We start from the raw sequence: 19,953 nt of genomic DNA on the forward strand, positions 1-19,953 counted from the left end.
ACCCTTTCACAAGCCTCTGCAGAGAAGGCCGGCTGCCAGCTGATTTTCACGGCATGGTTCCAGGTGACTATGGGATCCCAGGGGCCCTGGGTTCAGGGGAGGGGCTGTGCTTTACCACCAAGCAAACCACACAGGGGGGCTGACACAGGAACCAAGAGGGTGCCTGGAAGGTTTCCTTCCATAGGAGGCAGCAGAGTCAAGGGGAGCGGTTCTGTTTTGCTTTTGGAAAGCAAGAGCATTAGAGCTGAAAAGTGCCTAGAATCCACCTCTTCTTAATGGGAGGTTCCCGGATACTCATCAGGAAGTTTGTAAACTGCAAAATTAGGTGGGTATGTGCATTTTGTGCAAAGAGGGCACATAGTTTTAATCAGATACTCTTGGTTCTAAGATCCTCTCTCTATGTTGTGACACCTAAACTCCTCATTTTGCCCACAGAGCATGATTCAGTGATTTGTTCAAAGCCACACCACCAGTGGATAACAGAGAAGAGAGAGAAAGCAAAGTCATTAGGCCTCTTTCTGCTGCCCTGGCCCCATGAGAGAACCTACAATAAGCAATCTGCTGTGACATTCTGAACATAGCCCCCTAGACAGAAATTAAATGTGTCAAGAAGGACCACTTTGAAAACCTTTGTGCCACCAGCCCCTTCCCTCCTTCCAATTAGCCTACTCCCACCCCATGACCCTACCTACCTATCAAGTCGGCTTCCTGTTAAGAGGACAACATGCTCTAGAGACAAGTATTTGCAGTTGGAGGATCCCTGAAGCTGCCTCTCAAATTCTCAAGCACTTAGGGTGGGAGTCGCTGAGCTACTGGCCTTCTTGGCTGAACATTTCAGGGGAAACAGCAGATTGAGAGTAAGCAAGTAAATGGGAGCACCCTGGAGTTGCTGGAAGTCATTGTTACCTTTTTTTCCCTTTTTTCATTTATGTGGATGGGTAGTTGTCACCTCAAATTGACCTTAGTGTATCTTCAACATAGTTGTAATGTAAGGAACCCACAGTTTGAAGACTAATAACTTGGGTTTGAATCTTAGCTCCATCATTTATTGCTAATTTAACTTTGAGCAAGTTTCTTAAACTTCTATACCTTGGTGTTCCCATGTGTAATTGAGTACTTGGCCTTTGGCAGAGATTGGTAAGTGCCAATTAAAACCAATTCCTGGCCAGGCAGCCAGACTGCTCTTTCTAGCCCAGCCTCCCTTGCAGTTAGACTTGCTGTGTGATTAAATTATCTAGCCAATAGAATGTGGGCAGAGGATGATGTGTCACTTCCAGATCTGGCCCATAAAAATTTTCTGGGTTGGGCAAAGGACATGAACAGACATTTTTCAAAAGAAGACAAAACAAATGGCCAAGAAGCATTTGAAAATGTTCATCACTAATCATAAGGGAAAGGCAAATGAAAACCACAGTGAGATATCATCTTACACCAGTCAGAATGGCTATTATTAAAAAGTCAAATATAGCAAATGTTGGTGAGGATGCAGAGAAATGGAAATGCTTAAACACTGTTGATGAGAATGTAAATTAATATAACCTCATGGAAAACAGTATGGAGACGTCTCAAGGAATGAAAAATAGATCTACCATTTGATCCAGTAATCTCACTACTGGGTATCTACCCAAGGCAAAAGAAATCATTTTACCAAAAAAATTTGTTTATCACAGAACTATGCACCATAGGAAAGTCATGAGTCAAAGTGTTCATCAATGGATGGCTGGACAAAGAAAATGTGGAGTATACATACCATGGAATACTATGCAGCCATAAAAAATAATGAAACCATGTCTTTTGCAAAAACATGGGTGGAATTAGAGGCCATTGTCTTAAGTGAAATAACCCAGAATCAAAAATTTAAATATTGCATGTTCTCATTTAAAAGAGGGAGCTGAATAATGTACAGACATACAGCGTGAAATAGTAGACACTGGAGACTTGGAAGGGTGAGAGGGTGGAAGGAGGGTGAGGAATGAGAAATTTCTTAATGAGTACAATGTAAACTATTCAGGTGATGGCTACACTAAACACCCAGACTCCACTAGGCAATATATCCATGTAACAAAACTGCACCTGTACCTTCTAAATTTATAATAAACAAAACTTTCTGGGTGGTCCTCCGTACTCTCTCTTATTCTATCTGCTGGCTGAGGTTACTTCAGAGGACTCTGAGGCCCTGCGGGATGATGGTGCCATCAGATAAGAGGAGCCTTGGCCTCTCAATCACCATGTGGAAGGCTGCCTTCCAAACACCTCCACTGAACTGTTACTTGAGTAAAAATAAATTTTATTGTGTTAAGATACTGAGAAGTTAGGGTGAGTTTTTTACAGCAGTCAACCTGCCTCATAGGTTGTTATAAGAATTAAATGAAGTCACATATGTGACTGGAACTAGAATAGTGTCTGGAACATACCTGATGAGCTATAACCATGATTGATATTACCGTGATGGATGGATGGATGCATAAATAGATAGATATTGAGAGAAAGAGAGACAAAATTATGTTTAGGGGTTGCAAAGGCAGTTGGCCACAGAGTTTTATTTCTTAGATTATCACCAAGATAATATTAAATTTTACTGTACAGCTGTAAAGTTTGCATTCTGGAGGCAAGAGATGGCATTACAGAAAAATATGTTGAGCCATTTATTAGTACTTTCCTATGTTTCTTGAAGAAAAACAAAAATCTGTCACTTTCCTCAAAGAGATATAGTCTGAATGAGACAGACAACTTAAACATTTTTTTCAGCCAAATGGAGTTTTATGCAAAAATATTTTCACTTTTCTATTCAAATAATTATTAAAATAATTTGCTTATATGGGAAATGATAAGGTGATACTGACATTTATTTATGGTAACTGAGTCTGCCTGTGGGGTAGAGCCTGTTCCAAATGTCGGGTGTCCCTTAAACTCCAAGGTCATCTTTAGCTCTTTTCTTGACAACTACAGTGACCTCCTACTGGTCAACCTGCTCCTAGTTTTCTCTGCATCCTCTCTGTGCACTCCCAAATCCATTCTCCACACTATCCCCAGAACAACTGCTCTAAAACTCTTTGTCACCAGTCTCTTCCCTGCTCCAAACCCTGCATGGCCCTTGGCTGCTTCCCACAGAGAATCTCAGACTTTTCTAGAGAAGAGCCACCATGGTGGAGGAGAATAAACAGCACCATTCATCCTGCAGTCATTGATTCGATTCATTCAAACATTTTTTGAGCACTTGCTATGAGCCAGGGGATACAATGGTGAACAAAATAGACAAAAAGGTCCCTCACAGAGCTGACCTGTGAATGAGCAAGGAGAGTCCAGCTCAGTGAGGCCTTGAGGACCAGCTGGCTTTTCCCTGAAGTGGAAGCCACTAAAGGGTTCCGAGCAGAGGCATGGCATGATCTGATTTATGGATTGAAAGGATCACTCTGCCTGGTAGCTGGACAACAGCCTGAAATGGCAAAGGCAGAAGCCAGGAGACCAGTTGGGAGCCCAACACAGTAATCTTGGCAAGAGATGATGGATGACGGCAACTTGGGCCAGGGTGGCACCAGGGAAAATTCTGGATATATTTGGAACATAAAGCCGAGACAATTTTCTGACTGATTGTAGGGTATAAGAGCAAAAGAAGAATCAATAAAGACTCATGGCTTGAAGCCTAACAATAGATAAGATAGAGCTGCCATTTAGTGAACTGGGACAGGAGCAGTTTTACTGAGGGAAGATGAGTTTCCTTTTTGAGTGTATTAAGTCTGAGATGCATATTAGACATCCAAGTGGGGATGTCAGGTATGCAGTTGGATCAGGGGAAAGGTCCAAGCTGGGGCTATCAATTTGGAAGTTGTCAGCCTATAGATGATATTTAAAGCTGTGAGACTGGCTAAGATCACAGATCAGAGCATGTGGATGGACAGAGCAGCCATCAGAGGGGACCCTCATACTAGGTGGTCTGGGAATTCAGAAGAACCAGCAAAGGAGGCTGAAAAGAGGTGACCACTGTGAGACAAGACCTAGCAGAATGTAATGTCCTGGAAGTCAATGAAGAGTATTCCAGAAGAGGTTTATGCATTTTTTTTTCTATGCTAAGAATAAACTCTTTTTTTTTTTATCCTGGTTGTTGTGTGTAACGTAATTAGTTCATTTCCATTGTTGTATAATATTCCAGTATATGAATAAACCATACTTATTATTAAAAAAAAGAAGAGGTTTATACATTCTGTCAGTTTCTGCTGCTGAACAGTGAGCTGAGGGCAGATAACAGCATTAGATTTGGCAACGTGGAAACTACTAGGGACTTAACAGAAGTGAAATTGGAGCAAAAGACTGATTGGGTGGATTCAAGAAAGAATAGGATGAGAAGAAATGGCAATGGCAAATTTAGACACCACTTTTTGAGTGAGTTTTGCTATAAAGGAATCTGATGAAACAGGCCCAGCTGGAGGCGAATATGGGGTCAGGAAAAGGCCTTAAGGTGGGAAAAGTATATCTTAATTGTATATCACCAGAACATCTGGGATGCATTGGCTGAAGCAACCTGCGTAAGCATACGATTTCTTTGAAGTCTTAAAGATGCACTTGAATTTTTCCTTTTATTCTGAACAATAATCTGTTTTAATTTATAAGTACTCTATTCTCTCCAAGTCCTTGAGTACAATGGATCCCCCAGAAGAAACATACTGTATTTGTCCTATTTCCCTGCAGTACTGCAAAGGCTATGCATACACTAGTCTGAGAAGCTGGGTTCCAGCCAGGCCTTCCAGGCCTCTGCTCCTGAGCACAGCTCCTTCCTGTCCTCCTTCCTCTACCCTGGCCAGGCTGGGCTCTTTGCAGCCTTCCTGTTTTTCCAGGAAAATGGGCCTATTAAGGATGTGGTTCTGTAACCAAAAAATTAAGCAATTCTGCCTTTCTCCCAAGTCAAAAGTTCAAACTGCATCCAGCTTTTAATTAAAAGTTACTTTTTCCCCCCTGATATTCTTAAATAAATACCAACATCTAACAGACAACCAGAAGACTTGGAGGACCAAGTAATGTGGAAGTTGCAGTGCTGAAGAGGCCAAGGGATGGGCACTTCCAAGAAGGAGGAAGTCAGGAACAGTGAGGGATGCACCTGGGAAAGCCAGAGAGGTACGACCTGAAATGTCTGGGGTGACTAGTCCTTCTCGGCCAGGAGACCCGCTTCTCATGGAAAATGGCACCAGGTGGTCTGTGTCAGTCAAAATTCATCCTACGGTGTGTGATACAAACCAAATTCAAACTCACTGAACAAAAGTGGGAGTTTATTTGCCCACATAACTAGAATGTTCAAAGGGATCAAATCAGCTCCAGACATGACAACCAATGGTACAGTTGATGTCATTAAGAATCCATCTCTGGCTGGGCACAGTGGCTCATGCCTGTAATCTCAGCACTTTGGAAGGCCAAGGCGGGCAGATCACTTGATGTCAGGAGTTCGAGACCAGCCTGGCCAACATGGAAACTCCGTCTCTACTAATAGTACAAAAATTAGCTGGGCATGGTGACGAGTGCCTGTAATCCCAGCTACTCAGGAGGCTGAGGTGGGGGAATCGCTTGAAACCAGGAAGTGGAGGTTGCAGTGAGCAGAGATCGCACCACTGCACTCCAGCCTGGGAGACAGAGTGGGACTTCGTCTCAAAAAAAAAAAAAAAAAAAAAAATAGAATCCATCTCTTTCTCTCCTGTTCTATGTTGACTTTATTCTCAGACTTCATTCTCAGACTGGTTCTAATGGCAACAAAGATAGCCTCTGACAGTTCCGGATCAACTTACTTCTTAGTACTTGAAACCTCTGAAGAACAGAGGGACCATCTTTCCAATAGTTCTAGCAAATGCTGGGAAGAGATTTGATTGGTCCATCTTGGGTCATGTGACCATTGGCTGATCCCAGACAGATACAGAACCCTGATTAGCTAGTCTTGAGTTACAGGCCTGTACTTGGAGCTTGGAGGTGGGATCACGTAGACTGAGGATGAAGGAGAACATGTTCCCAAAAGGAGATTGATGTTCAGTTGCCAAAAACAAGGAAGATGCATATTATAGGAGCAAAAAGAAATATTGATATCTGTTCTATCCTACTAATCCCAATTTACTTTTAAAGAAAAAAATTCTTATTTTAGCCAAGAATTGCTGTTATTTATATTTTCAGGTTTATTTCATTAATTCTTTCAAACTTGAAATTAAATTTTTTAAAAGTAAGAAAATAAGCCAGGAGAAATTATAAGGTGAAATTAGTAAGACAAAATCAAACATTACTGAAATATAAACCAATAAAAATAATGAAAGAATAAATGAAAATAAACTATTTGAAAAGATAAATAGATTAAATGAACTTCATCAAGGGTAAAAGAGGGTAAAAACATGTAAGTTTAAAAATAAAAAAGGAGGTACAACCATGTTACAGAAGAAATTAAAAGTCATAAATCGATACAAAGTGAAAACAAAAAAGTATGATCTTTTAAACAATATACAAAATATCAAAATTAATCAGAAAAGAACTGGGAAATTTTTTAAAAAACATTAATTGCCATAGAGAATATGGAAAAGGTGACTTTAAAACTAACATTGAAACAGACAGTAATACCAGATGGTGTCATAGCTGAGTTTTAACTTTTACAAACAGATAGTTAAAATGCTACTTAAATAATTCTAGGCCATAGAAAATTTTTTTAAAGTTCTGTAATTCAGTAGTAAAAGAAAAAAACAGCAGATTAATTAAATATAACTGCAAAAATAAAAAATCAGCCAATCAGTCAGAAAATTGTCTTGGCTTTGCATTCCAAATATATCCAGAATGTTCCCTGGTGTGAACCTGGCCCAAGTTGCCATCATCCACCATCTCTTGTCAAGATTACTGTGTTGGGCTCCTGACCGGTCTCCTGGCTTCTGCCTTTGCCACTTTAGGCTGTTCTCCAGCTACCAGCCAGAGTGATCCTTTCAATCCGTAAGTCAGATCATGCCATGCCTCTGTTCAGAAACTTCCAGTGGCTTCCACCTCAGGAAAATGCCAAACTCCATATGCTGGTCCCCAAGGCCTCACTTATCTGGACTCACCTTACTCGTTCCAGCTCAGCCACACTGGACTTCTTGCTACCCTCACACAGGCAGGCTTGCCCTTGACCAGATTTCCTCGTCCTGGAATGCACCTCCCAGCTCTACAAAGGCTCTGCTCCCTCACCTTCTCTTGGCTTAAATGTCACTTTCCAGGGAGCCCTTTCCTGATCACCTTATTTAAAATGGCATCCCCCTACTCCAACTTGTGGTAGCTACTATTACAATTCCCTGATTCATTTTTTCCTTATATTGATCACCATTTAATGCACCATGATTTAACTTATTTACTCACTTACTGTCTATCTGCCTTCACTCTAACGTAAGCTCTGTGAGGGACCTTTTTGCCTGTTTTGTTCACCATCGTATCCCCTGGCTCATAGCAGGTGCTCAAAAAATGTTTGAATGAATTGAATCAATGATTACAGGATGATTGGTGCTGTTTATTCTCCTCCACCATGATGGCTCTTCTCTAGGAAAGTCTGAGTACCTGAGGAAGTCCTGGGCACAGAGGGATGACTGTCATTTAAAACTTGATCCTCTCAAAATTCAGATATAAGTTTGATGTGATTACTCTTCTAATGCCAATAGTGTTGGGAAGGTGAAAACTGAATAAAATTATCTTGGAAGTTATGTGGAAAAGTCAATGCCTAAGATAGCTAAGAGAAAATAGGTAAATTTTTAATATAAAATTAAAATTAAGTTACAGAAACATACAGTGAATATTTTTCTTCTGTCTTTGTCCCACATCTGCCCAGTTCCATCTTACCCCCCACCATATGTATCCCTCCAGAATTTCTTTATACATAGACAAGCAGATATGAGTACAAAAATCTTTTCTCCATTGTTTTTTACACAAATGTTAATACTGTACACATTGAATCTTGCTTCTGCTTAATATGCCTCTAAGGTATTTGTAGTACAAAAAGAGCTTTCTTGTCCTTTATTATACAGCAGCCTCATGTCTCCATCATATGAATATACTATAATTTGACGAGTCCCCTAGGACATGGTTTCTAACATTTTGTTACGAAAAGCAATGTTCCAAAATATGTACTTTTTCTTCTTAATGAAAAAATATATATAGAATAAGCTTCCAAAAGTAGAACTGCTGGGAATATGCATTTGAAATTTGGCCAAATTGCCCAGGGCTTATGCTCTTACCAGCAATGTGAGAGTGTGTTCACCCAAAACTCGTCAACACAGTATGTCACTAAACTTTTGGATTGCTGCTGATATAAGAGGTGAAAAATGACATCTTAGCATAGTTTTCATCTGTACTTCTTATCAGGAGTGAGGGTATCTTTTAAGAATAATGTGTATTTTTTTTCCCAAAAACTCTTTATGTTCTTTGCTCATATTTCTATTAAGTTGAAGGATAGACAAAAGACTCAATGGGAAAAAATAGAGAATCCTACCCAGGAGTGGTGGTTCATGCCTGTAATGTCAGCACTTTGGGAGGCTGAGGCAGGATGATCACCTGAGCCTAGGAGACCAAGGCTGCAGTGAGTGATGACTACACCACTGCACTCCAGCCTGGGCAACAGAGCAAGACTGCCTCAAAAATAATGAAAATAAAAGTAAACATTTAAAAAGAAAATAGAGAATCCTGAACAGATGTAATAATATATTTATGTTTCAAATAGGATGAAAATGATTTTTCATGTCTAGAAAAGGCAAATTTACAGACACAGAAAGCATATCTGAGATTACCTAGGCTGGAAGGTAAACAGGTAAACTTTTGGAGGTTATAGAAATGTTCTAAAATTGAATTGCAATGATGGTTGTAAAACTATCAACTTCTTACTAAAATCACTTAACAAAAGTTAAATTTTATGGTATATAAATTATACCTCAAAAAAGCTATTTTTAAAAAATTATTTTTGGAAGTCATAGAGCAATCAGGCAAGAGAAAGAAATAAAAGGCATCCAAATTGGAAAAGAACAAGTGAAATTATCTCTGTTCACCGATGACATGATTGTATACCTAGAAAACTCTAAAGGCTCCTCTGAAAGATTCCTACACTTGATAATCAACTTCAGTAATGTTTCAGGATAAAAAATCAACATATGGAAATCAGCAGCATTTCTATATATCAATAATATTCAAGCTGAGAACCAAATCAATAACTCAATCCAAAAAAAAGAACTCAATCCCCGCAGTGGCCACAAAAGAATAAAATAGGAATACATTTAACCAAAGAAGTAAAAGATCTCTACAAGGACAACTACAAAACACTGATGAAAGAAATTGTAGATGATATAAACAAGTGGAAAAACATCCCATGCTCATGGATTGGAATAATTTATATCATTAAAATGACTATACTGCCCAAGGCAATCTACAGATTCAATGCGATCCCTATTAAATTACCAACATCATTTTTAACAGAATTAGAAGAAAACAATCCTAAAGTTCATAGGGAACCAAAAAAGAGCCCGAATAGCCAAAGTAATCCTAAGCAAAAAGAACAAATTTAGAGGCATCACACTGCCTGACTTCAAATTATGCTACCAAACTATAGTAACTGAAACAGCATGGTGCTGCTACAAAATTAGACACATAGGTTAATGGAATAGGACAGAGAACCCAGAAATAAAGCCACATACCTACATGTAACTGATCCTTAACAAAGTCAACAAAAATAAACAACAGAGAAAGGACATCCCAGTCAATGAGTGGTGCTGGGAAAACTAGCTCGACATATGCAGAAGAATGAACCTGGATCCCTATCTCTCACCATATATAAAAATTAACTCAAGGTATATTAAAGACTTAAGTATAAGACCTGAAACTATAAAAATCCTAGAAGAAAACTTAGGGAAAACTCTTCTGGACATTGGCCTAGGCAAAGAATTTATGCTGAAGACCTTAAAAGCAAATGCAACAAAAATAAAAATAGTCAAATGGGACTTAATTGAACTAAAATGCTTTTGCATAACAAAATAAATAATCAGCAGAGTAAACAGACAACCTATAGAATGGGAAAAGTATTTGCAAATTATGCCTCTGACAAAGGACTAATATCCAGAATCTACAAGGAACTCAAACAACTCAACAAGAAAAAGACAAACAACCCCATTAAAAATGGCAATCCTAGCCATGTCTACAGGAGCAGACATTTCTCAAAAGAAGAAATACAAGCAGTCAACAAACACATGAAAAAATGCTCATCACTAATTATCAGAGAAATGCAAATTAAGACCACAATCAGATACCATCTTACACCAGTCAGAATGGCTATTATTAAAAAGTCAAAAGCAACAGATGTTGGTATGGATGTGGAGAAAAGGGAATGCTTATACACTGATGATGGGAATGTAAATTAGTTCAATCCCTATGGAAAATGGTATGGAGATTTCTCAAAGAACTAAAAACAGAACTACCAGTTCAACCCAGCAGTCTCACTAGCAGTGAGACTAAGGAAAAGAAAACACATTATAAAAAAGTCACCCGCATTCATATGTTCATTGCAGCACTATTCAAGTCATGGAACCAACCTAAGTGTCCATCAACAGTTGATGGGATAAAGAAATATATACCATGGAATACTAGATAGCCATAAAAAATGAAATCATGTCTTTTGCAGCAACATGGATGGAGCTGAAGGCCATTATCCTAAGTGAACTAACTCAGAAAAAGAAAACCAAATACTGCACATTCTCACTTATAAGTGGGAGCTAAACAATGGATTCATATAAACACAAAGATGGAAATAATAGACACTGGGGATTCAAAAATGGGAGAGGGTAGAAGGGGGGATGAGGGTTGAAAAAAAACTTATCTGGTACAATGTTCACTATTTAGGTAAGGGATACACTAGAAGCCCAATTCCTACTAGTATGCAATATGCCAGCTAACAAACATGCACATATAACCCCTGAATCTAAAATGAAATAAAAATAAAGAGGAAAAATGATATTTTTAATCCCATGAGGAGGAATTAGGTATTAAGTAGAGATGCTAGAATGATTATCCAGTCAGAAGAAAGTTAAAATGGACCTTTCCAGCCTGGAGAACATAAAGAGATACCCCATCTCTACAAAAAATAAAATAAAATTAACTGGGTGTGGTATTGGGGCCTATAGTCCCAGCTACTGAAGAGGCTGAGATGGGAGGATCATTTGAGCCTGGGAGGTTGAGGTTGCAGTGATCAAGCCACTGTACTCCAGCCTGGGTGATGAAGCAAGACCCTGTCTCAAAGAGGAAAAAAACAAACAAACAAACAAAAAACTAAGGTGGGTGAGAGCTTTTTAATTAAGGTTGGAAACTCAGAAGCTATAAAAGGACAGATACACATATTTGACCAGATAAATATGAAAAACTTTTGTTTGGAAAAGATACCAGAAGCTAAGTCCTACGATCTGAATTTTAAGTGTCCCCCCAAAATTAATATGTCAAAACCTAATCCTCAAGGTGATAGTATTAAGAGGTGAGGCCTTTGGGAGGTGATCAGGTTATAAGAGCTCTGCCCTCATGAATGGGATTAGTGCCTTTATAAAAGAGGCTTGAGGGAGCTTGTTCATCACTTCTGCCATGTGAGGACACAGAAGGTGTCATCTATGAGGAATAGGCCCTCACCAAACACCAAAACTGCTGGCATCTTAGTTTTGCACTTTCCAGCCTCCAGAATTGTGAGCAATAAATTCCTGTTGTTTATACATTACCCACTCTAAAATGTTTTATTGTAGGAGCCCAACCGGAATAAGATGCTAAGGCAATAGGTAAACACTAGCTTGGGGAGCAGGGGAAGACTGTCAACTCAGAGATCAGATAGAGGGTGAATAGCTATAATATACAGAGAATTCTTTTTTTTAAAAAACTGTGTATAGATTTAATTGCCTGTTGGACATTTACATTTCTTTTTTTAAATTTTATTATTATCATACTTTAAGTTTTAGGGTACATGTGCACAATGTGCAGGTTTGTTACATATGTAAACATGTGCCATGTTGGTGTGCTGCACCCATTGACTCGTCATTTAGCATTAGGTATATCTCCTAATGCTATCCCTCCCCGTCTCCCCACCCCACAACAGTCCCTGGTGTGTGATGTTCTCCTTCCTGTGTCCATGTGTTCTCATTGTTCAATTCCCACCTATGAGTGAGAACATGCAGTGTTTGGTTTTTTGTCCTTGCGATAGTTTGCTGAGAATGACGGTTTCCAGTTTCATCCATATCCCTACAAAGGACATGAACTCATCATTTTTTATGGCTGCATAGTATTCCATGGTACATATGTGCTACATTTTCTTAATCCAGTCTATCGTTGTTGGACATTTGGGTTGGCTCCAAGTCTTTGCTATTGTGAATAGTGCCGCAATAAACATACGTGTGCATGTGTCTTTATAGCAGCATGATTTATAATCCTTTGGGTATATACCCAGTAATGGGATGGCTGGGTCAAATGGTATTTCTAGTTCTAGATCCCTGAGGAATCGCCACACTGACTTCCGCAATGGTTGAACTAGTTTACAGTCCCACCAACAGTGTAAAAGTGTTCCTATTTCTCCACATCCTCTCCAGCACCTGTTGTTTCCTGACTTTTTAATGATCCTCATTCTAACTGGTGTGAGATGGTATCTCATTGTGGTTTTGATTTGCATTTCTCTGTTTGCCAGTGATGATGAGCATTTTTTTCATGTGTTTTTTGGCTGCCTAAATATCTTCTTTTGAGAAGTGTCTGTTCATATCCTTCGCCCACTTTTTGATGGGGTCATTTGTTTTCCTCTTGTAAATTTGTTTGAGTTCATTGTAGATTCTGGATATTAGCCCTTTGTCAGATGAGTAGAATGCAAAAAATTTCTCCCATTCTGTAGGTTGCCTATTCACTCTGATGGTAGTTTCTTTTGCTGTGCAGAAGCTCTTTAGTTTAATTAGATCCCATTTGTCAATTTTGGCTTTTGTTGCCATTGCTTTTGGTGTTTTAGACATGAAGCCCTTGCCCATGCCTATGTCCTGAATGGCATTGCCTAGGTTTTCTTCTAGGGTTTTTATGGTTTTAGGACTAACATGTAAGTCTTTAATCCATCTTGAATTAATTTTAGTGTAAGGTGTAAGGAAGGGATCCAGTTTCAGCTTTCTACATATGGCTAGCCAGTTTTCCCAGTACCATTTATTAAATAGGAAATCCTTTCCCCATTTCTTCTTTTTGTCAGGTTTGTCAAAGATCAGATAGTTGTAGATATGCGGCATTATTTCTGAGGGTTCTGTTCTGTTCCATTGGTCTATATCTCTGTTTTGGTACCAGTACCATGCTGTTGTGGTTACTGTAGCCTTGTAGTATAGTTTGAAGTCAGGTAGCATGATGCCTCCAGCTTTGTTCTTTTGGCTTAGGATTGACTTGGTGATGCGGGCTCTTTTTTGGTTCCATATGAACTTTGAAGTAGTCTTTCCCAATTCTGTGAAGAAAGTCATTGGTAGCTTGATGGGGATGGTATTGAATCTATAAATCACCTTGGGCAGTATGGCCATTTTCACAATATTGATTCTTCCTACCCATGAGCATGGAATGTTCTTCCATTTGTTTGTATCCTCTTTTATTTCATTGAACAGTGGTTTGTAGTTCTCCTTCAAAACAAACAAGACAGGGATAAGTACCAAGACAGAAAAGTGGTACTTTTCTGGACGTGAAAAGGCAATTCACAAAAAAATCCATGTGACCAACGCATATGTGAAAAGAGGTTCAAATTCATGTGCAATCAGGGAGCTACCAAGTAAAGTTACAATGAGACAAGAATTTACTCTGATCAGGTGAAAAAATGAGAGAGATTGATAATCTTTACTGCTAAAGAGAATGTGGGGACTTTAGTACATTTGTGATTGGAAATACAGTATTATTATACTGTATTGGAAAGACTGTATTAATGCAGTCTTTTTGGAAAGAAATCTGGGCCACATTTGTTATGATTAAAATATATACACCTTTATCCAGAAGTCACACTCCTGAAAATCCATCCCATAGGAACAAAAGCTTCAAAACCAAAAAGCTTAGATACACAGAAGTATACTACCTTGTAAACAGGCAAAAAACAAACAAACAAAACAAAAAACAGGAAACAAAGTGAGTATCATCTACATGGGAATAGCTGAAGAAATTATAATAGAACTGCACCAGAGTTATATGTGGCCATTTAAAAGTATAAATTGAACCTGAACCAGGTGAATTAAGAGTGATTTCCTTGGCCCAGCATGGTGACTGGCACTTGTAATCCCAGCACTTTGGGAGGCCGAGGCGGGCAGATAACTTGAAGTCAGGAGTTTGAGACCAGCCTGGGCAACATGGTGAAACCCCATCTCTACTAAAAATACAAAAAATTAGCTGGGTGTGGTGGCAGGTGCCTGTAATCCCAACTACTTGAGAGTCTGAGGCACAAGAGTTGCTTGAACCTGGGAGGCGGAGGTTGCAGTGAGCCAAGATCTCACCACTGCACTCCAGCCTGGGCAACAGAGCAAGACCCTGTGTCAAAAACAAACAAACAAAAACAAAAGTGGCTCCATTAGGTGCTAGAGGAATAAAGCAAGATACAGAAAAAAATATATGAAATAATGGCATATACTTTATATATGTATCTGTAAAGATGCACATTGATGTTTACAGGTGATCATATTAACACGGAGAAAAATTATTAGAATGATAATGTATTAGCTCAAACTGCTATAACAAAATACCATAGACTGGGTGGCTTAAATAACAGATACTTATTCCCCACAGTTCTAAAAACTGGAAGTCCAAGATCAAGGTGCCAGCTGATTAGGTTCTGGCGAGGCCTCTTTTCCTGGCTTGCAGGTAGCTGCCTTCTCACTGTATCCTCATGCGGTGGAGGCATGAAGCTCTAGTGTCGGTTCATCTGATAAGGACGCTAATCCCATTTATGAAGGCTCTAGCCTCATGATTTCATTTTCTCCTAAAGGCTCCACCTCTTAATACCATCACATTGGAGGTTAGGGCTTCAACATATGAATTTGAGGGGAACGCATGCCATCCCTAACAGTGCAGTACTCACTTCTCTATGCAGATTTCCTGGGTGCCAAGGATGCATTGGGGGTACTACAGAATAACTGAAAGGGAAAAGGAAGAAAAAAATAAATAAACCAATACTTTTATGAAGAGATTTCAGTGCACCTGACAAATAGCTGTTACATGGAAGATTTCTCACTGTTTTCAAAATGGAGAAATGCAGGCTCCGGGAGGATTATTTCCTGAGCCAGGGCCCCACAACAAGGCAATTACTGAACCATAAATACCACCCAAGTCTCCTGACTTTCCCATGGCTTGAATCGGAACCATTCCCAGATAAATATAACTAAATCATCAGCGTAAAATCGATGAGCACAAACATATAAATGACAAAGGCTTGGCTTCACAGACTGGAACTGGCCCTGTGACTAGAGTTCTCAAGTGTCACTTCGCTGAGCAGAATGGAGGTGGCTGCCTCCCTGCATTTCAGAGAGAAACAGAACAAATGAGAGTGGCTGGAGCCACATGAATCAGCCCTGAGGTCGCGCTGCCAGTTGTCTCATGCCCATTTGTGGCAAACGGTGCATTTGGAGGGATTAACAGGGAGTAGGAGTGAGTGAACAGATGCAACAGATTAGAGAGGAAATCTGTTCCTGGGTGGCTCCTGGCAAGCTGGTGGGGTTTCTGGCAGAACAAGGAGGGGAGAGGACGGCTGGGGAAAGGAGAGGAAAATGTCTCTTTTGCATTTTTGATTTTGCAGGGCCTTCTGAACAAGAATCTTTACTGCTGGTATATCTTGGTAAACTGCAGCAAAGAGAAGGGGACGGGGGAGGGGGCATGGAGGTAGGAAAGAGGGAATTTTCTGGAAATGAAATGGGATTCAATAGGCAGGCAAACTCAGCAGTCTCCCTTCCTCACTCAGACAATTTGTCTCTCAAGGATCCAGGGACCTAACTCCTTAAAAATAAAGAAAACAAAACAAAACAGAAACAGAAACAAAAAAAAAAAGCCGCTGAGTCTGTGTTTTTCTTTTAAATTTTTATTTAATCATTTATTTATTTATTTATTGAGATGGAGTCTCGCTCTGTCCCCCAGGCAGGAGTGCAACGGTGGGATCTTGGCTCACTGCAACCTCTGCCTCCCCGGTTCTAGCTATCCTCCTGCCTCAGCCTCCCGAGTAGCTGGGATCACAGGCGCCCACCACCACATCCGGCTAATTTTTGTGTTTTTAGTAGAGACGGGGTTTCACCACATTGGCCAGGTTGGTCTTGAACTGCTGACCTCAGTTGATCCACTGGCTTCGGCCTCCCAAAGTGCTGGGATTACAGGCGTGAGCCACACGTGCGCTGCCCTGTCTGTGTTATTTAAAAGCTGGAAGCTTGGTAATGGTGACCGTGGGCCTGAAGTCAGTCTGGGACGTGGCCCCTCGCTAGCCTTTCACCTGGAGGGAGCCAGTAGGACCGCGGCTAAATGAAAAGGTCAAAGAGCCCAGAAGCGAAAGAGGTCCTCACGCCGCAGGCCCAGACCCCACCGGGCGCAGCCCAGGACGGCGCAGCGCAGGCCCGGCGGGCGGGAGCAGCCGCGGAGGCGGCGGGCCCGGGTTTGCCAGGACTCCCTAGAGCTGCTCTGTTCGCAGGTGTCAGTGATTTGAGCGCTGTGTGCGATAAATGGAGCTCTCCAATAAACGGGAAGCGGCAGACACAGTCCAGAAGGCAAGATTTATTTTTATTTAGAAAGGTTGAAGAGGGAAAATTTAAATTCGATTTAAACATTTACTCAAAGAGGAGATGGGCAGACAGCTGAGATATTGGAACCGAGACTCAGGAGCAAGCGGAACATGGCTTTTCTGAAGTCAGCCCCAGACAATAAAGAAATCTCCGGATGGAAAGGAAGCAGCGTGAAGATTCAGGAGATGCCTGGAATCCGCTTAGGGTTTGAGATCACGTGGCTCAGCTCCTCTTCCCACGGATGCTGGAACTTGCTGTGAGACTTTGAGCAAATTACCCAGCTGCCCTGAGCCTTCGTGTGTTCAGCTGCAACATGGGTGGGGACATGGATCTAGCTCGCAGAATTCTTATGAGATTAAAAAAGTCCATAAAGGAAGTGCTTAGTAAAAGTAAGCTGTTGCTACATCATTCTAGGTCTGTTGAAACTACGGATTCCTGGACCCTCGTATGTTAAGCTTCAGTCTGGGATGAGGCCCAGGAATCTGTATTTTGAATATGCTCTCCAGGGGTTTCTACTGGGCAGCCAGCTTTGGGAACCCCAGCCCCTGCCATGGGTACCAGCAGGATTCTCAGCCACAGCGTCCTCATCCGGATTCAGTCCCGCAGCTTCAAGGACCACTGGGTGCCTAACAGTCTTAGTCCTTGACTTAGTCCTTCCTCAGGCCGTGCCTCTTGCCCCACCCCATCCTTCCCATCTTCTTCAGGGTATCCTCAGTCCTCAGTCACTCAGGCCTAACGTGAGTGCTTTCTCGTTCCCTTTCACCCTTCACATCCATCAGCAAGTCCTGCTAGGGATAACCCAGACCCCATCTGGGCTCCCCACCTCCACCCTTACCTACAGTTGTCCATTCTCCATTCCCAGCCAGAGAGACTTGTGTAAAGAACAAATCAGGCCGGGCACAGTGGCTCACACCTGTAATCCCAGCACTTTGGGAGGCTTAGGTGGGTGGATCATCTGAAGTCAGGAGTTCGAGACCAGCCTGGCCAACATGGTGAAACCCTGTCTCTACTAAAAATACAAAAATTAAATTAGCCAGGAGTGCTGGCGTGCAGGAAAATCGGTTGAACCTGGGAGGTGGTTGAGGTTGCAGTGAGCCGAGATCGCACTATTGCCCTCCAGCCTGGATGACAGAGTGAGACTTGGTCTCAAAAAAAAAGGGAAAGAAAAAGTATCAGACCCAGATTCCTCACCACGGCCTCAGAGGCCCTGCTTCTCTAACCTCACCCCACTCTGCTGCCTGGCACTGGCTCCAGCCACAGGTGCCTCCTTCATCTCCCTATGCCTGCTAAACTTGAGCCTGACTCAAGCTTGCCAAGCTTGGCATGGCTTTTGCCTCTGTCTGGAACACTTGCCTACCCCATCCGCCCTCCAGCCTTCCTATAGTTGCTGTTTTCTCCTGATCCAAGTCTCTACTCCAGTGCCACTTCCTCAGAAGAGCCTGCCCTGACTTCCACAGGCAGGGAGACCAGGCCTGTGACCTGTGGCAAGTACTCATCCTCCCTGGAACTCAGCCTCCTCATCTGTAAAATGGGGATAATAGTACTACATACCTCTAGGGTTGCTATGAGGATCATGAGTTTAAATGTACACTGAATAGTGCCAGGCACTTAGTAAAAGTTCAATCAATGTCAGATATTAGCTCATGCTAATCTCATGGAATTACAGTGACTCACTATGTGTCTGCCTCCTCAGTAACTGTCAGATTGTGGGGTCTTACTCATCTTCACATCCAGGCCAGCTGTCAGGGTGCCTGGCATGAAGAAGTCACCTGTACTGGGTTGAATAGTGTCCTCCCACCAGCCCTCTGCCAAATTCATGTCCACACAGAACCTTAGAATGTGACCTTATTTGGAAATAGAGTCTTTGCAGACACAATTAGTTAAGGTGAGGTAATACTCCATTAGAGTAGGCCCTAAAACCAATGACTGGTGTCCTTGCAAGAAGCCATGTGAAGACACAGAGACTGAGACACAGAGGGAAGAAACTCGTCTGACGGCAGAGGCAAGATTGAAGTTAGTAACTGCAAGCTGAGGAATGCCAAAGATGGCTGGTAAATGCCAGAAGCTAGGAAGAGGCAAGGAAGGGTCGTCTCCTAGAGCCTCAGAGGGAGGCTGGTCCTGCAACCGTGAGGGAATAAATGTCAGAAGGTTTAAGCCGCCTAGTTGTTACCACAGTCCTAGGAAACTAATATAACACTCAATCACTGGTGAGAGAGTGAGTGAGTGAATAAATTGAAGACACCCCCTTCCCACGGCACTCTCTGACTCCCATGAAAAGGCAAGAGCTCTCCCTGTCCTTTCCCCTGTAGCATCACTACGGAGTGTGTTAGGGGTGTCGGCAACCTTCATTCTCTCAGGAGACGCAGCAGGGATCCAGAGTCCCCCATCCTCAACTTAGAAGTGAGGAGACCGGTATCCGACCTGACTCAGCCAAGGTAAGCCCAACAGAACCTGAGCCTCCATAGCCGCCACCCGCAACAAGACAATGTCCTCTGTCCAAGGAGGGAAGAAGGCCTTTCACAATGAAAGCCGTTGAAACCCATCCACTGGTTGGATAGTTCTGAGTGTCCCCCACGGGCCAGGTGCTGGGCCTGACACTGAGCCCCACAGCCCTTTCCTGCCCTCTCTAGGGAAATCTCTCACTTCCTCTCCCAAATGGTGGTTATTTATATAGATCGAGCTGCTTCATTTTCCCAAGGGGCTCATTTGGCAAAGACAAAAATGGCTCAGAGGAACCACAGACCAAAATATATTTCCTACTAGAACCGCCCACCCCTCAGTGTGCCACTTGCTTGGCGAGTTCATCTCTCCCATCTGCATGTGGCATTATCAGTTTGCCCAGGCACGAAAGCACCCAGCCCCCGTAGGTCTCTCTCTAGGTCCTGGATTCTTGGCCTTTTAAGGTCACCCCCTACATTCTCTAGGCCAGGCCATGGGTTGAAGACATACTTATTTACAGAACATATCAGGTTGATAGGACAATGCAGACATAATCATTACAGTTGATCTTACTGAGGTACCTATGCTATGCGAGGCACCATTAACTTCAATGTTTATTACAAGGGTAATGACTATTATGGGTAAGGAGTGTTATGAGCTCTAATTTAGTGACAGGGAAACTGAGGCACGGGAGATGGAATGAAGCGAGGTTACCTAGTGAAAAAGTGATAAGTCACAAGCCAGAGGCTGATGCCAGGCAGTCTAGCTCCAGAGCCCC

The 19,953-nt window shown here is 41.8% G+C and overlaps 1 protein-coding gene across 3 annotated transcripts in view; it reads left to right on the forward strand.

Moving 5' to 3' along the window:
• Positions 1-19,953, forward strand: part of TBC1D19 (TBC1 domain family member 19) — a 282,243-nt gene that overhangs the window by 211,410 nt on the left and 50,880 nt on the right. The window contains exon 23 of one of the 3 annotated variants that reach the window (XR_007057936.1): positions 436-2,303. The exons of the other annotated variants lie outside the window; for them this stretch is intronic. The gene's annotated coding sequence lies outside the window, so the exon portion shown is untranslated. Of the gene's footprint in view, positions 1-435; positions 2,304-19,953 lie in introns of those variants that run through there. 3 annotated transcript variants of the gene reach the window in all.

The sequence above is a fragment of the Homo sapiens genome, chromosome 4 (genome assembly GCF_000001405.40).
Source record: "Homo sapiens chromosome 4, GRCh38.p14 Primary Assembly".
NCBI lineage: Eukaryota > Metazoa > Chordata > Mammalia > Primates > Hominidae > Homo > Homo sapiens.